This window comes from Homo sapiens, chromosome 21 (genome assembly GCF_000001405.40).
Source record: "Homo sapiens chromosome 21, GRCh38.p14 Primary Assembly".
Classification (NCBI taxonomy): Eukaryota; Metazoa; Chordata; class Mammalia; order Primates; family Hominidae; genus Homo; species Homo sapiens.
In genome coordinates, this window is record NC_000021.9 from 37,400,392 (window position 1) to 37,416,902 (window position 16,511).

General features: G+C 38.1%; 1 protein-coding gene across 5 annotated transcripts in view; it reads left to right on the plus strand.

The window, feature by feature from the left end:
- Window positions 1–16,511, plus strand: part of DYRK1A (dual specificity tyrosine phosphorylation regulated kinase 1A) — a 160,786-nt gene that overhangs the window by 34,819 nt on the left and 109,456 nt on the right. Inside the window, exon 2 of one of the 5 annotated variants that reach the window (NM_101395.2) lies at window positions 10,179–10,279. The exons of the other annotated variants lie outside the window; for them this stretch is intronic. The gene's annotated coding sequence lies outside the window, so the exon portion shown is untranslated. The remainder of the gene's footprint in view (window positions 1–10,178; window positions 10,280–16,511) is intronic. 5 annotated transcript variants of the gene reach the window in all.

Consider the following 16,511-nt stretch of genomic DNA (forward strand, 5'->3'; position numbering starts at 1 on the left):
TTTTCCAGCTTATCACACTCCTATAAATTATTTGGAAAAGTAGGAAGGTTGCTTTTGAAGTAGCAACTTGTAGATATATCATAAGTATACTTCCAGCTATAATAAGAATTAGTCATAGTTTTATAACTTTTTAGTGTTAACTTGATGATCCAAATTTGAGATCCAACCTGGGAGACAGCTCCCAAAATTTTACCACCTAATCTGTTTTTTATAACAATGGTTTTGAGCGACTTTTCTCTAAATAATGGAAGTTATTGTTCTTTTAGGGTCAGTGTAAGCTGACAGTGGTAATTTTTATCAAGTATTAAAAATGAGTCTGAGTTTAGGGAAATGATATGAATGATTGGAATTTATTTTAGCATCTAGGAATTTTATTGACTGAGAAAGTGCAGATTGCAGAAGAGTAGCCAAAAATATACTATGATTGTACCCTTTCTAAAGTTGCTTGGTTAAATCAAGGTTGAAAATAGGGGCCAGGTGCAGTGGCTCACGCCTGTAATCCCAGCACTTTGGGAGGCTGAGGTGGGCGGATCACTTGAGGTCAGGAGTTCAAGACAGCCTGGCCAACATGATGAGACCCTGTCTCTACTAAAAATACAAAAATTGTCCAGGTGTGGTGGTGCACACTTGTAGTCCCAGCTACTTGGGAGGCTGAGGCGGGAGAATTGCTTGAAGCCGAGAGGTGGAGGTTGTAGTGAGCTGAGATCGTGCCACTGCACTCCAGCTTGGGCGACAGAACGAGATTCTGTCTCAAAAAAAAAGGAAAGAAAATAGGTTATAATTGGACTATATTTTTCTTATTGTGCTATATTAGGTAGTTAATTTTGGACTGGTCTAATATAGCCCATTGTGAATAAAATATAAGCATATGTAGTGTTTAAAAAAAAGATGTTCACACTTAGAAAGGTGCCAGTGGAAAGTTTTCATGGTCATGAGCCAATCATGAACATAAACGTGTGTATTAATTTTAATATTTGATTTTTTTTCTTGAACCTGCCTGTTTTTTACCTTTTACAAAATACTTTTTATTTCTCTACACCTTAAGATACGTATTTTGAAGTTTTTCAGATAGTCTTGTTATTTCTAGTTCCTTTTTTTTTTTTTTTGGGAGACAGAGTTTCGCTCTTGTTGCCCAGGCTGGAGTGCAATGGTACCATCTCGGCTCACTGCAACCTGCGCCTCCTGGGTTCAAGCAATTCTCCTTTCTCACCCTCCTGTGTAGCTGGAATTACAGGCGTGCCCCACCACACCTGGCTAATTTTTGTATTATTAGTAGAGACAGGGTTTCACCATGTTGGCCAGGCTGGTCTCGAACTCCTGACCTCAGGTGATCCACCCACCTTAGCCTCCCAAAGCACTGGGATTACAGATGTGAGTCACCACGCCCAGCCAATTCTAGTTCTTTTGGTGTGAAATTTGGTTTCTCTTTTGTAATGAAAGGTTCTTTGTATCTTTCGCAATTACTGTGTATAAGCTCTTCTTCACATGAACTTTGGAAGGTGTTCTACATTTTGAGGGATATACACATTACATATTTTCAAATATTTAGAGTTAATATTGTTGCAACTCCTACTTCACACTGACAATTTCCACTTCCCACTTCCCATTCCCCAGTTGCCAAATGTAGTAGCCATAAAGAGCATCAGATTGATTTATCTGCCATCCCTTTGTGCAATTGCTGCCATGTTTTTACTCCTACTTATATTATACATTATGTACAATTTTATTATTTTTGCTTTAAGCTGTATTTTAAACAACTAAAATTTATTTTTGTTTAAAACTCTCAGTTTTTAAATATAAGTATCCAAAGGAAAAATATTTATGAAAACTTTGTTTCCATTTGGTATCAGTTTTCTGTCTTAACACTCTTCGGCATTTCTTGTGCAGCTCTGCTGGCAAGGACTTCTCTCACTTTTTTTCCCTTCTTACAAATTTTAATCTCTAAATGTCTGTATTCAGTCTTGAGTTTGAAGGTTTTTTCACTGAATGTAGAATTCTAGATTGATACTTTTTGTCTTTTAGCACTTTAATGGTGTTCCATTGTCTTCTGGCTTCCATTGTTTGTGATGAGATGTAAGTGGTAATGACTATCTTTATTCCCTCGATATACCAGTCTTTTCTTCTGGCTGCTTTCAAGATTTTCTATTTCTCTGCTTTAAGCTGTTTTACTCTGCTGTGCCTGGGTATGGTTATCATTTGAAAGATTTTAAGCTATGGTTTCTTCAGATATTTATCCCTTTTTTTTTCTGTGACTTTATTTACTTGCATTATACAACTTGATATTGTTCCACAGGTCACTAAGGGTCTGTTCAGTTTTCTTTAGTCTTTTTTCTCTCTCTTCTTTAGACAATTTTCTTTCCCTTTCTCTTTCCCTTTCCTTTTCTTTTTTGAGACAGAGTCTTACTCTGTTGCCCAGGCTGGAGTGCAATGGTGCCATCTCGGCTCACTGCAACCTCTGCCTCCCAGGTTCAAGTGATTCTCATGCCTTAGCCTCCCAAGTAGCTGGGATTTACAGGTATGCACCACTATGCCTGCCTAATTTTTGTATTTTTAGTAGAGATGGGTTTTCACCATGTTGGACAGGCTGGTCTTGAACTCTTGACCTCAGGTGATCTGCCCCCCCTCAGCCTCCCAAAGTGCTGGGATTACAAGCGTGAGCCACTGTCCCTGGCCTAGATTAGATAGTTTCTATTGATCTGTCTTCCAAGTTTGCTGATTTTTTTTCCCTACCATCTTCAATATGCTGTTTAATTTCATCTAGTAAATTTTGCCCTTTGGTTATTATGTTATTCATTTTTAGAGTTTTCTTTTTGTTCTTTTTTTTATAATTTTTATTTTTCTGCTGAGATCCCCTATCTGTTCACACATTAAAGACCATGTGTTCCTTTAAGATTTTGAAAATAATTCTAATTCTTTGAATGTATAAAATAGCTGCTTTAAAATCTTTGCTGCTAAATTTAACATCTGTTCTAACATGGGGTTGGTGTTTTACTGACTCCTTTTTCCCCCTTATTGGATCACATTTTTCTGTTTCTTTGCTGCCTACTAATTATTTTTGTATTAAAAAACAACAACAGAGGCAAGGTCTTGTTCTGTCACCCAGTCTGGAGTGCAGTGGTGCAGTGGTGCAGTGGTGCAGTCATAGTTCACTGCTACCTCACACTGCTGGGCTCAAGTGGTCCTCCCACTTCAGCCTCCTGAATAACTGGGACTACAGGTGTGCCCCACTATGCTCAGCTAATTAAAAAAAAAAAAAAATATATATATATATATGTGTGTGTGTGTGTGTGTGTGTGTGTGTGTGTGTGTTCACCAGGCTGGTGTTGAACTCCTTGCCTCAAGCCATCCTGCCTTAGCCTCCCAAACCATGCCTGGCATGCTTCCCTTGGAACTTTTGATGAATACTGTTTTTTTTTTTTTCTTCTCCTAAGAAGGTTGATTTTTGTTCTAAAGTCTGGTTGGTCACCTTGAACTTGTGTAGGCTTGGTTTTATACTTTATTAAGGCAAAATTTATTTACCTTAGGTAACCTCAAGGTGATTCCTTACCCTGTCTAATATGGTGGACCATGACTTTCAAACTGGGTTTTCCTGTGACTCTTGTCTGGATTTTGTTTTAGACATTATTGGTACTGGTTTGGAGTAGGCTGTATGCTAGAGTGTGGTTCTTAGTCTTGAAGGAGGAAGGGAATGTTCAGGTGTGTATTAGGGTTCTCCAGAGACACAGAACCAATAAGAGATACACAGGCGTGTATATATGTATGTATCCATAAGTAAATAAACAAATATAAATTGATGTAAGGAATTGGCTCACGTGACAGTGGAGGCTGAGCAGTCATAAGATGCACATACCCAGAATAATGCTTGACCAAATGTGTGGGCACCCTGTGGCCTAGGCAGGTTGACACATAAAGTTAACTATCACAAGGTGTTAATGAGATTTCTTGTCTGTGGCTGGGTAGGGACCCCAGATCCCCCAGACTTGCTCATTGTCTATCATTTTGGTTCTGGTCTCAGCCTCTAAGTAATCATTCTGTGGCTCAGGTTGTTTCACCTGGCCCATGTGCATTCTGGTCCTCATGGCTCTCCTACATCCAGACTTCTGGAGGTCCCCTTCTGTGCACCTCCCTTCTCTCTGGCACATGGTTTCAGATGCCTGAACTCTAAGCTTTACCAAGCTTTACCTTCACATCTCAGCATGCCCGCCATGCTTTACTGAGCCTCTAGTTCGTTTCACCATGTTGGGAAATTGTTCCCAGACAACCAGGAGACTCATGACCCTTCAGGGATCACAGTCTTGGGCTACCATTTGTTGATTGTCAGAAAACAGTTGGCGCAAATATTTTCTTCAGTTTTGTGGTTGTTTAAAGTGGAAATAGCAGTACTAGTTATTTTCTTGTACAGAAGCAGGATATGTGAGGATTACTGTTTAATAGCCGTTAGGCATACAGGTTCTTTGCAGGTGCTTGGAGGAATGTAAGGATTAATACAGTCAGTTTCCTATTGAGCATGGCTGGGGTGGGATTGTGTAGTGGAATGTATGGATTTAGAATGGTTCAGTATAAGCAAGTATCCAGCGTCATGATTCCAGAATACAGTTTTGCTCTTACGGCATGTACATTCTCAGAAAGTACAGAATCTAAGGATGAAAAAACAAGCTGAGTGGTGGAGACAGTTTTCTTTTACATTTTAGCTGTTCCTCTGATTATATTTCATGGGGTAGGTAGATACTTAAATGATTTTTTAGTGATGTCGGCCTTTGGGTGAAGATGAGGCCCACTGAGAGGACTCTAGAGCAGTTGAACCCCGCTTCCCACCTAGGGTTGGAATCATGGCCCAGGCAGATGCTGTGGGTCCCAAGCTCTGCAGGAATGACTGGGGGCTGCCATTCATAAAGCAGCTGTCCCATTATTGGATGTTTTTGTTCTTTTATCTATTTTCTGCCTAGTCTCCTGCATCCTTTTCCTAATTCTTGGCTTTAGTTCTGTTTTCTTCAACTATAGGGAGCGAGTCAAGTCATCCCACCTCTGTGAGACTTGCTTGATTATTTGCAGGCATCTATGCATGACTCCTTCCGTCTTTCATTGTCTTGACTGCACAGCCTTAGTACCTCCAGATCCCCACCCACCTATTACTTTCTCAGGAGTTTTGAACTTTCTCACTAACTTTTTTAATGTGGATCTAGGATTGAAAAGAATCGTGAGCTTAGGAAGCGTTACAGATACAAAGACTACAAATTCAGGTCTCACTTGTCAAATATCAGAAAGGTTATTTCTGACAGTCCTCCTTCCCCAAATCTAAATGTTTCCCTCTTTTAGCAATCTTTCCCTCCCTCATAACTTTAGCATGGTGTATGGTGTGTGCGTAGTCATACATTAGTGTGATTTTTGTCTGTTTTGAACACTATACTGTGAAGTCCACGAGGTAGAGGCACAGTGACAGCAAGCCTCACTCTACATCTTCAGTGCTGGACGTCATCCAGTGTCATGGCATCATGTGATTTTTAGGGTACTATTCATGTGTGTTCAGTTATGTAAACTTGTTTCTCAGTTGTATCAATAGGCGTAAATAAGTTCTCATTGTTGATGTTATTGAAGTGTATCCATAAGTATGTATGGTCATTCCTCTTTTTTTTTTTAAGGATGATACATATATTTATTTCTTAAAAATTTCAGGGGACGTCCCAGTGTTAGCCACTTCTTGTCCCTTCTGTGGCTACATCCAGTTGTAATTGTTCAGTACAACACATCAGGTGTTTGAAATGCCTCAAATGTCAAGAAACACTAACTTATCTCTGGCATACCGTACTTTTTAAAGCAGAAGTATTTTCTGTAATGGTTACTACAGAGTGTTTACTGGTTAATTTTTAGTTAACCAGAAGCATACATTCCATAGCTATTCCAGTTAACTGAGGTTTATATCCATAAAGACATTACCAGAGATAGAAAAATTTCCCTTTTCTTCAGCTAGAGACCCCAGGCACCAACACACCCTCACCACCTTCTTGAAAATATAAAGTGATGGGACAGGGTGCGGTGGCTCAAGTCTGTAATCCTAGTGCTTTGGGAGGCTGAGGCAGATGGATCACTTGAGACCAGGAGTTTGAGACCAGTGTGGTGAACATGGTGAAACCCTTCTGTACTAAAAATACAAAAACTAGCCAGGTGTGGTGGCACATGCCTATAATCTGTAATCCCAGCGACTTGAGTGGCTGAGGCATGAGAATTGCTTGAACCCGGGAGGCAGATGTTATAGTGAGCTGAGATCATGCCACAGCACTCCAGCCTGGGATACAGAGTGAGACTCTTGTCTCCAAAAATGAAAAAAAAAATTATATCTATGTATATCTCTATATATCTCTATATATCTATATATGTATATATCTCTATATACATCTCTATATATGTATATAATTATATATATCTATTTATATATGTAATTATATATATATATCTTTAGTAGTGACTTTTACTAGTGAAAATTTTAATATCCTAATTACCGTTATTTAGAAAAAATTCTTTTTGAGTTGATGTTTAAAATTCTTTTGATTTTTTTTTTTTTTTTAAAGTCATCTTTTACAACTCCTCCCTACCGCTCCTCCCCTAGCTCTCCAGGCCCATTGCCCTGACTAGTAAAGGTTTGCTGTTTTTTCTTCTGGACATTTTCCTTTGCGTCTTCATTTATATATAAGTGCTCATATTCTTGTTATACACAGATATATTTACAAACGTAGGTTGGGTATCCCTAATTCGAAGTGTTTGGGAGTACAACTGTTTCGGATTTTGAAATATTTGCATATATGTAGTGAGATATGTTGGGGATGGGACCTAAGACTAAACATTCATTTATGTTTTATATACTGTAGACAGCCTGAAGGTAATTTTATACAATATTTTCAGTAATTTTGTGCACACAATAAAGTTTTGGCTGAGCTGTGGCTGTAACCCATCATATGAGTTCAGGTGTGGAGTTTTTCACTGGTGGCATCATGTCTGTGCTCAATAGATTTAAAATTTTGGAGCATTTTGGAGTTTTGTATTACAGATGCTCAACCTGCACTTCTGTAACAGAGTAGTTTGAATGCTTAATTAAAATGGCAGTTGAATATTATGTTAACTTTGGTTTTATGATTAAACCTTTTCAAAGTTTTTGTTACTTTCAGATACTCATAAGTAAGGCATATAACCTCTCTAGACCTCACTTTCCACATTTGATAAAGGAACGATTTGAATTAAATGAAATTGAAAATCTCTTAGCTCTAAGTATAACAAATTATGTGTTAAATTGTATAATTCATCTCTTAGATATCATGAAGAATGTGTTGTTTATAATATGAAAAAGTATGAAGATAAAAATCAAATATGACTTTGGGTAGCAAGAAGAGATTTTGGGGGAAGTTGCTAATGTGTACAGTTTTTTCCCCTAAGAGCGGCGAGAGAATGGCAGCTGATCAGACTGGTGGTGGAATCTGTCTCTATTGCCCAGCTTGGCACTATGAAGTTTGACCTGTGTCGATCACTCAAAACTAGCTGATGACATCTGAAAGGGAGTTTTACCCCGGCTCCCTGAAGTTTCACATTACAGCTCTACATTTGTGTTAACACAATGAATGCTTCAAAAAAAAAAAGTTATAGAAATCAAAGCTTACATAGGCAAATCTTTGTTAGTGACTTAGTTAAAAACATTTCATGAATAATAGTTGCTCAAGCTATTTTAACCCTTTTCCCTTTCCCAGAAGAGAAACAAGAAAATCCCACACATTTTGCTCAGTCATGGTATGTTTGTAAGCTCTCTTGTCAGAAAGTGTCACTGATTCTTTAAATTTCTTTTAGTTAGCTGCTTTTGTCCAGTAGCTCACTTATTTTGTGGTTTGAAGATGACTGTACTTCTGACACTTTTCTCACATACTCCTGCTTTAATTTTTCGAAAAACTCAATGGCAAGAAACTGAAAACATATACAGAAGTGGAGAGAATACTAGAATGAGCTCTCACGTCCCTAGCCTCTTGGCTTCAGCAGTACTCAGTGTTTTGCCCATCAGATTTTCTAATGCTTTTAGTGTAAGTAATGCCACATTTAAAAATACTCCTTTTAGAAAAGAGACTTAGTATTTAAAAGGAAATAAACCAGAGTCATTCCCAAGATTTATCTGATTAAACTGTAGAGTTTATAATTATATAAATTTTTTTTAGCACATAGAACAGTCATTCTCTATAGCAAAAGTACTAGCTTTTGTGCCCTTTGCATTGGATTGAGTTATAGAGCTAAACCACAGCAAACTCATTTGTTCCACTCTTAGGTTGCAAGTATCACTTAACTGTGCTTACTTATCTCATCTTCAATATTTACAAATTTTAACTCACATTTGTTTCAGTAAAGCAACCCAAAGTAGATGTTTTAGGAGATGAGTTGGTTTGATGGTTATGATTTTCTTTTACTCCTGTATTGACAGTCAGCTGTAGTTGAGACTATTAGCCTTCTGGAGGGTGAGGTGAACAGGGCTTTTTCCACTTCAGGGGCTAGAGGCTGACATGCATGCAGTTACCTGCAGTTCAGGGCAGAGTGGGGTTAGGGTGGTAATGGTGGCATAAATACTGTTGTGCCAGGGTCATGTCTATAGGTGTGTGGTGGGAAGCTCTGGGGGAGACAGCACTGGCATTGGGTTTGGACGTGGCATTTACGGGCAGAGGTGGATAAAGAAGACCCATGGAGTAGCCTTAGCAAAAGAGTGGTATTTGGGTAGTAGGACTTTGTTCATGTGGCTGGAGTGTAGATGTGTACTAGGAGATAGAGTGAAAAGGTGGAGGTAATAGTAATTTAAAATATAACAGTAAAAAGAAGCAGCTGTGTATTGATCACTTACTGTGCACTGTTTTAAATGGTTTACAGGTGCCACATCTTTGATAATACAGCAATTCTGTGGGTGCAATAAGTGATGGAGCCAGGAGTTCACCTGGGGCAGGCTGGCTCCGGAGCATCACTGGTGCCTTAGGGCCTCAAATACCAGATTCAGCAACGCTAAGCACTTTTTTGGGTCTTATTTTTGGATGGTGATAGTTAGCAGGATATTAACTGATTTTTAAAAACAAATATATTTGTCCATTGTCATGAACTTTTTAACTCTGTTGGAGTTTAAAAAATTGGAAGTACTTAGTGGTTACTCATTGTGGCCCCTAGTTACAGTTCATGAAAGGGATTTTTTAATGTTAAGATGGAAGCTGAATTTCTTGGACCATTTTTTTCCTCATAAAAGATGTATATATTTATAAAAATTGCGATACATTGAGAAGTATAATAAATTAGTAATTACTCAGAATTTTATTGGCCAAAGATATTCATTATGAATAATCTTAAATGCTTTCTTCGAGTGTTTTCTATGTATTTATTCTACTCTTCTAAAACTGTGCTTTGGGAAGGGCTTTGAGTCCTTTCTAATATAATGGTATAACTTCCCCCCTCATGCAGTGAAGCTTTCAGAAGAATTCAAGTGATCACACAACATCATATCTGTGTTACCTTTTGTGTTGAACATTTATTATTTATAACATTTAATTTTTAATGATAAACTTTTGTATATACATTTTGTATATTCTGTTATGAAACGGATTTCTAAAATTAGAGATTGAACATGAAGCAGAATGGCCTACAAAAGGAACATGAATCTGTGCTACAGATATAAAAACTATTTTGAAGGCTATAGGAACAACCACATTTGCCAGGACTCATGCTTAAATAGACTGTGTACGGCTGTGGAGATCATAAATTGAGAAAGCATGATATTTGAGCAAGAAAAATTTACTGAGGTTTGTTAAGATTTGAGAAGAGAGATGGAAAATCTTCCTGTTCAGTTGGAGAAGAAGCTGAGGAATAAGTCTTTGTGCATATGAAGAGTGTTTTGTAGGCTGTGTATAGGTATTTTCTGTTTCTTCAGAATGTAGCAAAAAACAGTGTGAACTTAAGTTGGTATAGAGGAATTTAGGAGATAATTTATGACTAGGGATTGGAAGCTATTGAAATAGTTTATCATGACAATTCTTTGAAATGGATGAGTTTTCATTATATTTAGGATTTTATTCTCCTTAAGGAGAGGAGGGGTTAAGATGGTGTCTTACAGGTATTTCTAGAACTTTATTCCCAAGATTTATTTATTTACTTAGAGACACTTTCACTTTGTCACCCAGGCTGAAGTGCAGTGGCACGATCATAGGTGGTCACTACAGTCTCAGATTCCTGGGCTTAAGCAGTCTTCCCACCTCAGCCTCCCCAGTAGCTGGGATTACAGGTAAGTGCCACCATACTCGGCTCATTTTGATGTTAATTCCAGTTTTCTCACCTATTGCACGTCTCCTGGACTTACACAGAAAATAGAAGACAGTTGGCTGGGCACTGTGGCTCACGCCTGTAATCTCAGTACTCTGGGAGGTCACAGTGGGCAGATCACTTGAGGACAAGAGTTCGGGACCAACCTGACTATCACAGTGAAACTCTGTCTCTACTAAAAATAGAAAAAATTATCTGGGCATGGTGGCGCCCACTTGTAATCCCAGTTACTAGGGATGCCGAGGCATGAGAATTGCTTGAGCCTGAGAGGCGGAAGTTTTAGCGAGCTGAGATTGTGCCACTGCACTCCAGCCTGGGCGACAGAGTGAGATTCTGTCTTTAAAAAAAAAAAAAAAAAAAAAAAAAAGCCCAGGCGTGGTGGCTCACACCTGTAATCCCAGCATTTTGGGAGGCCGAGGTGGGTAGATCATGAGGTCAGGAGTTCGAGACCAGCTGACCAACATGGTGAAACCCTGTCTCTACTAAAAATACAAAAAATTAGCCAGGCGTGATGGTGTGTGCATATAATCCCAGCTACTCAGGCGGCTGAGGCAGGAGAAATGCTTGAACCCAGGAGGCGGAGGTTGCAGTGAGCTGAGATCACGCCATTGCACTCCAGCCTGAGTGACATAGTGAGACTCTGTCTCCCCCCCAACCCCCTCCCCCCCAAAAAATGACAGTTATACTACATGAAGGTTTGTAGTTTTGACTGAAAGGACAAACCAAAACAAGAAAACCCCACCTATAATGCAGGTAGAGTAATAGCATGCTCATGTATAATTGATTTGGCAAGTCTGTGAATGAAGTCCCAGAAATTGTATATTCAGTTTAGTGAGGCCAATGGAATTTGAAGTACAGGTGTAGAAATGTTGACATTAACAAATGTCATATGTATTAGGATTGTGACAGTGTGACTACTGACATGGTAGTGTGCCAGTCATTTTTATAGAATGTCTATTGGTTGAGAAAATTCCAGGGTAACAATTTTAAGGTTTAAGTTTTAATTTCATCACAAAATACACATTCATTTTAGAAAATTTAGAGAATACAGATAAGAATGACAATTCCCTGCAGTTTCTCTCTTCTGAGATAACTATTATTTGCATTTTGTATGTAATCCACCAGTTTTTTTCCTGCACATAACTACTATTCTCTTTTTGAAAAACAAATACAATCATGTTATCTGCATATTGCTTTACAACCCACTTTTTCTACATGAAGCAATATTTTCATTGTATTCCGCTGTGCCAATCTGTTTATTGAACATGTACTGCGATACAGAAATACGAGATCTAGTGGTACTTTTCACCAAGTAGTAGATAATACCACTGGAGTGAGTATATAACATAAATAATTAACAGAATATAGCAGGAGATAAATGCAAGTTAAGAGGAGAGGCTGGAGTGACTTTAAAGTGGATGAAGGCAAATTGAGGTGATCTTGAAAATGGATAGGCAAGAAGGGGCAAATTTCAGGTAGAAGAAATAAACACTAATGCAGAAGGGGCTTAAATGCACTTTATGGAATGTCACATTGAACTGTGAGTTCAGAGGAATAAGATAAGATCATACGTTTCTAAATTATAGAGGGGTTAAATCCAGGTTGAAAGTTCTGTGTCTCAGAAAAGTATGTGTAGCAGCTTTATGCAAAATAAATTAGGGCAGCGGATACAGCTTTTTAAGCACAGTAGTTCCCAAACTTCGCTGGGTCCAGGATTCATCTGTAACATCTTGTTAAAACAAAACACATATTCTTAGGTCCTTGTCCAGGCTTCCTGAATCAGGATTTTTGGGAGTAGAGTCTGATGTAGTTTAGGGAACCTGCCCTAGAGTTTATGACATAACCATCAGGCCTAGGAGATAGTTAATTCTAGGAAGCATTTGTAATACTTAAGGTGAATTAAGGACTTGGTTCAGGTGACTAAAGTGAGCATGGAGAGGAATGGAAAGGCATGAGGCACTTCGAAAATGGATAGGATTTAGTAAGACCATTTAGATAAAGTCAGCAGCTTCTAATGAAATTACTGAAAGAATGGTGGTGCGGGAATAGAGATGGGAAGTTCAAGTGGATAACATGTGGTGCAGGAATGTGATGAGGAGTTGTAGGCATAGAGAATGGAGGCAGGGATGTGGCACTGTAGGCAGCCACCCAACAGCTTGTTAGACTAGATATTGAGTGAAAAGTTTGAGTGGAGAAGAGAGTTTGAAGTATTAGTTTGGAGTAAACCATTGAAAATACTTCTTTTGCAGGGAAAGATGTATAGAGAAATGAGTGAAGCGGTCAGGGGATAGAACCAGAGGTCACATCTGAGGTTAGGGCTAAATGTGAAAGAGACATGGATTATTTGGAGGATAGCTAGTGTTGTGAAATACAAGAACATACATTTTAAGAATTTTTAAGGGGGTAGCATTTCTCTGTAAACTCCACAGAAGTGTGGGAGGGGAAGTAAGTAAAACTGAACTCACTTTACTGCTTTTAGTAATAGACTCATTGGAAGAAAATGTAAGCTATTCATGCAGTGTGTGTTTTTGATTATTTCTGGGCCTTGTTATTTTTCTGTGTTTCTGAGATGCAAGGATTATTTAAAGGCAATGGTTTATAAAATGATATATAATTACATACGTATAAAAGTACATATAACCAACTAAGTATATGTATGCATGCACTCATGCAAATCAATTATATATTTACATTTTATATATAAATTATATATGTGTGTATATATTGTATTATAGAACATCCTGTGTGGAAAAGTTGGTGCTGTCAGAAGGGAGAGAGAGCAAGGCAGTTTTCCAGTGCATTTCTTATAAGCTAGTTATGAGAAGGGCTTGCAGGTTACTGATTGAACATATTCTTTCTAAATGTCTTCTGTCTGATAGATACTCCTTTGTTAGGGAATATATACATAAATGAGATTACCCTAGATGTTCAGGTTAGTGAGGGAAACGTTACAATAGATAGCACTAAGCGCTGGATCTCAGCTTTGATTCCCAGAGCACCTAGAGCGTCATTGGGCCACCTCTTCTAAGTTCCTCTTAAGATCTAGAATTGATTTGAATAATAGAAATTTTGAGTACATTTTGTGTAGGTGACATAAAAGAACATCCTTAAGCAAGCATATCAGTTAAAGGACTTGTCTTCATGGCTCTTGGTGTTTTCTTCATACCACTTTGCTCTTAGTTCCTGTTAGCAGAGGGGAAGAAGCAGGCTCTAAGATTTAAAATTCATGCTAGTGAAAATTAGAAACAAGCCACATACCCTCAATAGGTGTTTGCTTAAAATGCATTTACGTCTTTGCAGTGGAGTACTGTGCACCTGGTAAAATGATGATGCAAATATAAATTGTTGATATAAAGATATATATGTATATATACATATATTTAAGGAGCAGAGATTCCAACACCAAATTTTGGGTGGTGGAATTTTATTAGGTTGGTGCAAAGGTAATACAGTTTTTGCCCTTGGGAGATTGGGCTGATGGTGACACCCGTTACCCAAGACTGAGAATACAGAAAGGAGAAGTGGATTTTTTCTCTGTTTTTCCTCCCTTTTTGAGTAGGGGAAATGGTAGATTCAGTTTAATATGGCCAAAAGCAGTGGCTTAGTAGTCAGTTTGCTTGGATTTGAATATCTCTCTACCATTAGTCGTGTGTGATTTGGGATGGTTTCACTTCACCTCTCTGTGCCTTAGTTTTCTCACCTGGACAATGGGAATGATAGTGGTACTTACTTTTTGTAATTATGGGGTTTAGTGGTTTAAAGTAGAAAATTTATACCAGGGCCCATTAAAGATAAGTCATCTCATGCAGTGAAACATAACTGGGACTTTCGAGCTCAGTTCACTGAGGTCTTCTGGGCCTGGAACAAGCCCGCCTTATAAAAGTTGGCTTTACATACTACATACTAAAGGAGTTCTTAATGTAGACTTTTAACCAACTGTCTTAGAAATGAGCCTTTGGAACCTAGGTCTGCATGTGATAGGGGTGCTTTCTAGTGTCTACTTGATAGACCAGTCACTTTCTAGTAGTGGGAGTTAGGTTCCCGAAAAGCTCTGTGGTTTGAGAATTCATTTTTGAGAATATCTATTCACAAGAGAATAGATAAACAGTTGATAGACTTGAAGGTCATACAAACCTGTGCAAATCATTGTAAATGTTTTCACATTCTAAAGGAAGACAGAGGACAGCAAGCAAAATAGAATATCAGTGGTAGTTTACATATTTTGAGTTAGTAACAGAGTACCTGTACTACTACTTTACAATTACTGATGATAACTTACCCCCAGAAACTTCTGTTTCTCCCCTTCAGTTTTAGAAATGATGTGTCAGTGCATTATGTATTGTTGCAGGTAATGTGCATATGAGGCATTTCCCTCCTGTTTTCCTCTATTTGTTGGTACGTCCAAATACTCAGTGCCTGATTTTGTCTTTCAGGCCCAGATGTGCTCTCAGAGATACTGAGTTGATGGTTGAGATAGCCAAAATTTGGGGCAAAACTCATTTAATCTGCTCAGCTTTTAGTTCTTAAACCTTCTCCCTAGTTCTTTTCACATAATTGCATGAGAAAGCACATGCTTCTAGCCTCTTTAACACAAATTTCAGCTATTCCACTTCCAAAATGCCATTGGAGTAGTATAATCCAGCACCCATGTTTATAATCCCACATGTTCTTTGACCTTGACCAAGGTTTTAATGCAAAATTGACTCATCTGCTATTGGTTTTTACCTTCCTTTCAGTTTGTCTCCTTTAATATATATATGTTTTTTTTCTTTTTGAGACAGGATCTCACCCTGTTGCCCAGGCTGGAGTGCAGTGGCATGATCAGGGCTCACTGCAGCCTTGACTTCCTGGAATCAGGTGATCCTCCCACGTTAGCCTCCTTATTAGCTGGGACTACAGGCTGCACCACCACACCCAACCAAGTTTTTTATTTTTTGGGGTAGAGATGGGGTTTTGCCATGTTGCCCAGGCTGGTCTCCAACTCCTGGTCTCAAGCGATCTACCTCCCTCTGCCTCCCAAAGTTCTGGGATTACAGGCATGAGCTGCTGTGCCTGGCCTAAAATGTTTTTGGTAAAGGGAAAATATAGCAATCTGTTATATGCTGGAATCAAAATTTTTCTACTAGATGAACTTTTGGGGAAATTTAGTATTCTGTTCTAAATTAAATGCCTTTTTCAAGTAATTACTGCTAATGAGCTCTTGTTTTTTCATGTTTAGGGTGGTTGATGCAGAGTAGTGCATATAGGGGCTAAAATCAGACTTAGACACTTGGGGGTTCTTGCATCTCTGTATTTTCTCACAACTATTTCAGTGATTCTTAATGAGTGGCATCTTGGCATAGTGAACTTTAATGTGGGACCATAGTTCACAAACTGTGACCTTAGGCCAGTTAATCCTTCTGACCCTTGCTTTCCCTGTTGATGAAATGGAAGTAACACTACCTACTCGTAGGGCTGTCAGGAGGTCAAATGTGTCAACGTCTATAAAATGCCTTAGCCAAGTGGTTGGCACATAGATAGTAAGTGTTCCACAAATGTTCATTTCCCTGTAGTTTTACTAACCATTTTGGTGCAATATTATATTCTTTATAAAGTCTTGTGTTTTGGCCTTTTTTTTTTTTTTTTTTTTAAAGACTGTGACTGTTTTCTAGGGTTTTGAGGGGAGTGATAAATGTTCTGGGTTTTTAGGATTTCACTTGAAATCCTCCTATATAACTGCTTTTTCTCTGTAATGCTGCTTGATCATCTTATTGGAAATAAGAGATTTTTTTTCTTGTGTGTTAGGCATCAAAACTGTGATACTTCTATTTTCCCTTTGACTCCTTTGGCTATTATAATTCTAGAAAATTATTTCTAAAATTGCTATATGGAAAAAGTACTTTCTTCTGTCACTTCTTTAATTCGTTAGTGTAAATGAGCCAAAGTTTATAAGAGAATGTTAGTTAACTGTATAAATTTTAGATAATGACATAAGTTTAATTTATGTAATCTAATTTTAGATCTAGTTTTTCTTGATTTCTGTTTTGTAGCTTTTCTGTTGTTGCTTATTTTTAATGGGCATCTTCTGAGTTATCTTTTTAGATCCCAGTGTGCACTGTATTTTATCTTTTCATATGGGCTAAATTTTGTAAATTGTGAAATATGCGAGCATTTATATAACATATAAAATGAAGTAATAAAAAACAACTTGGTAT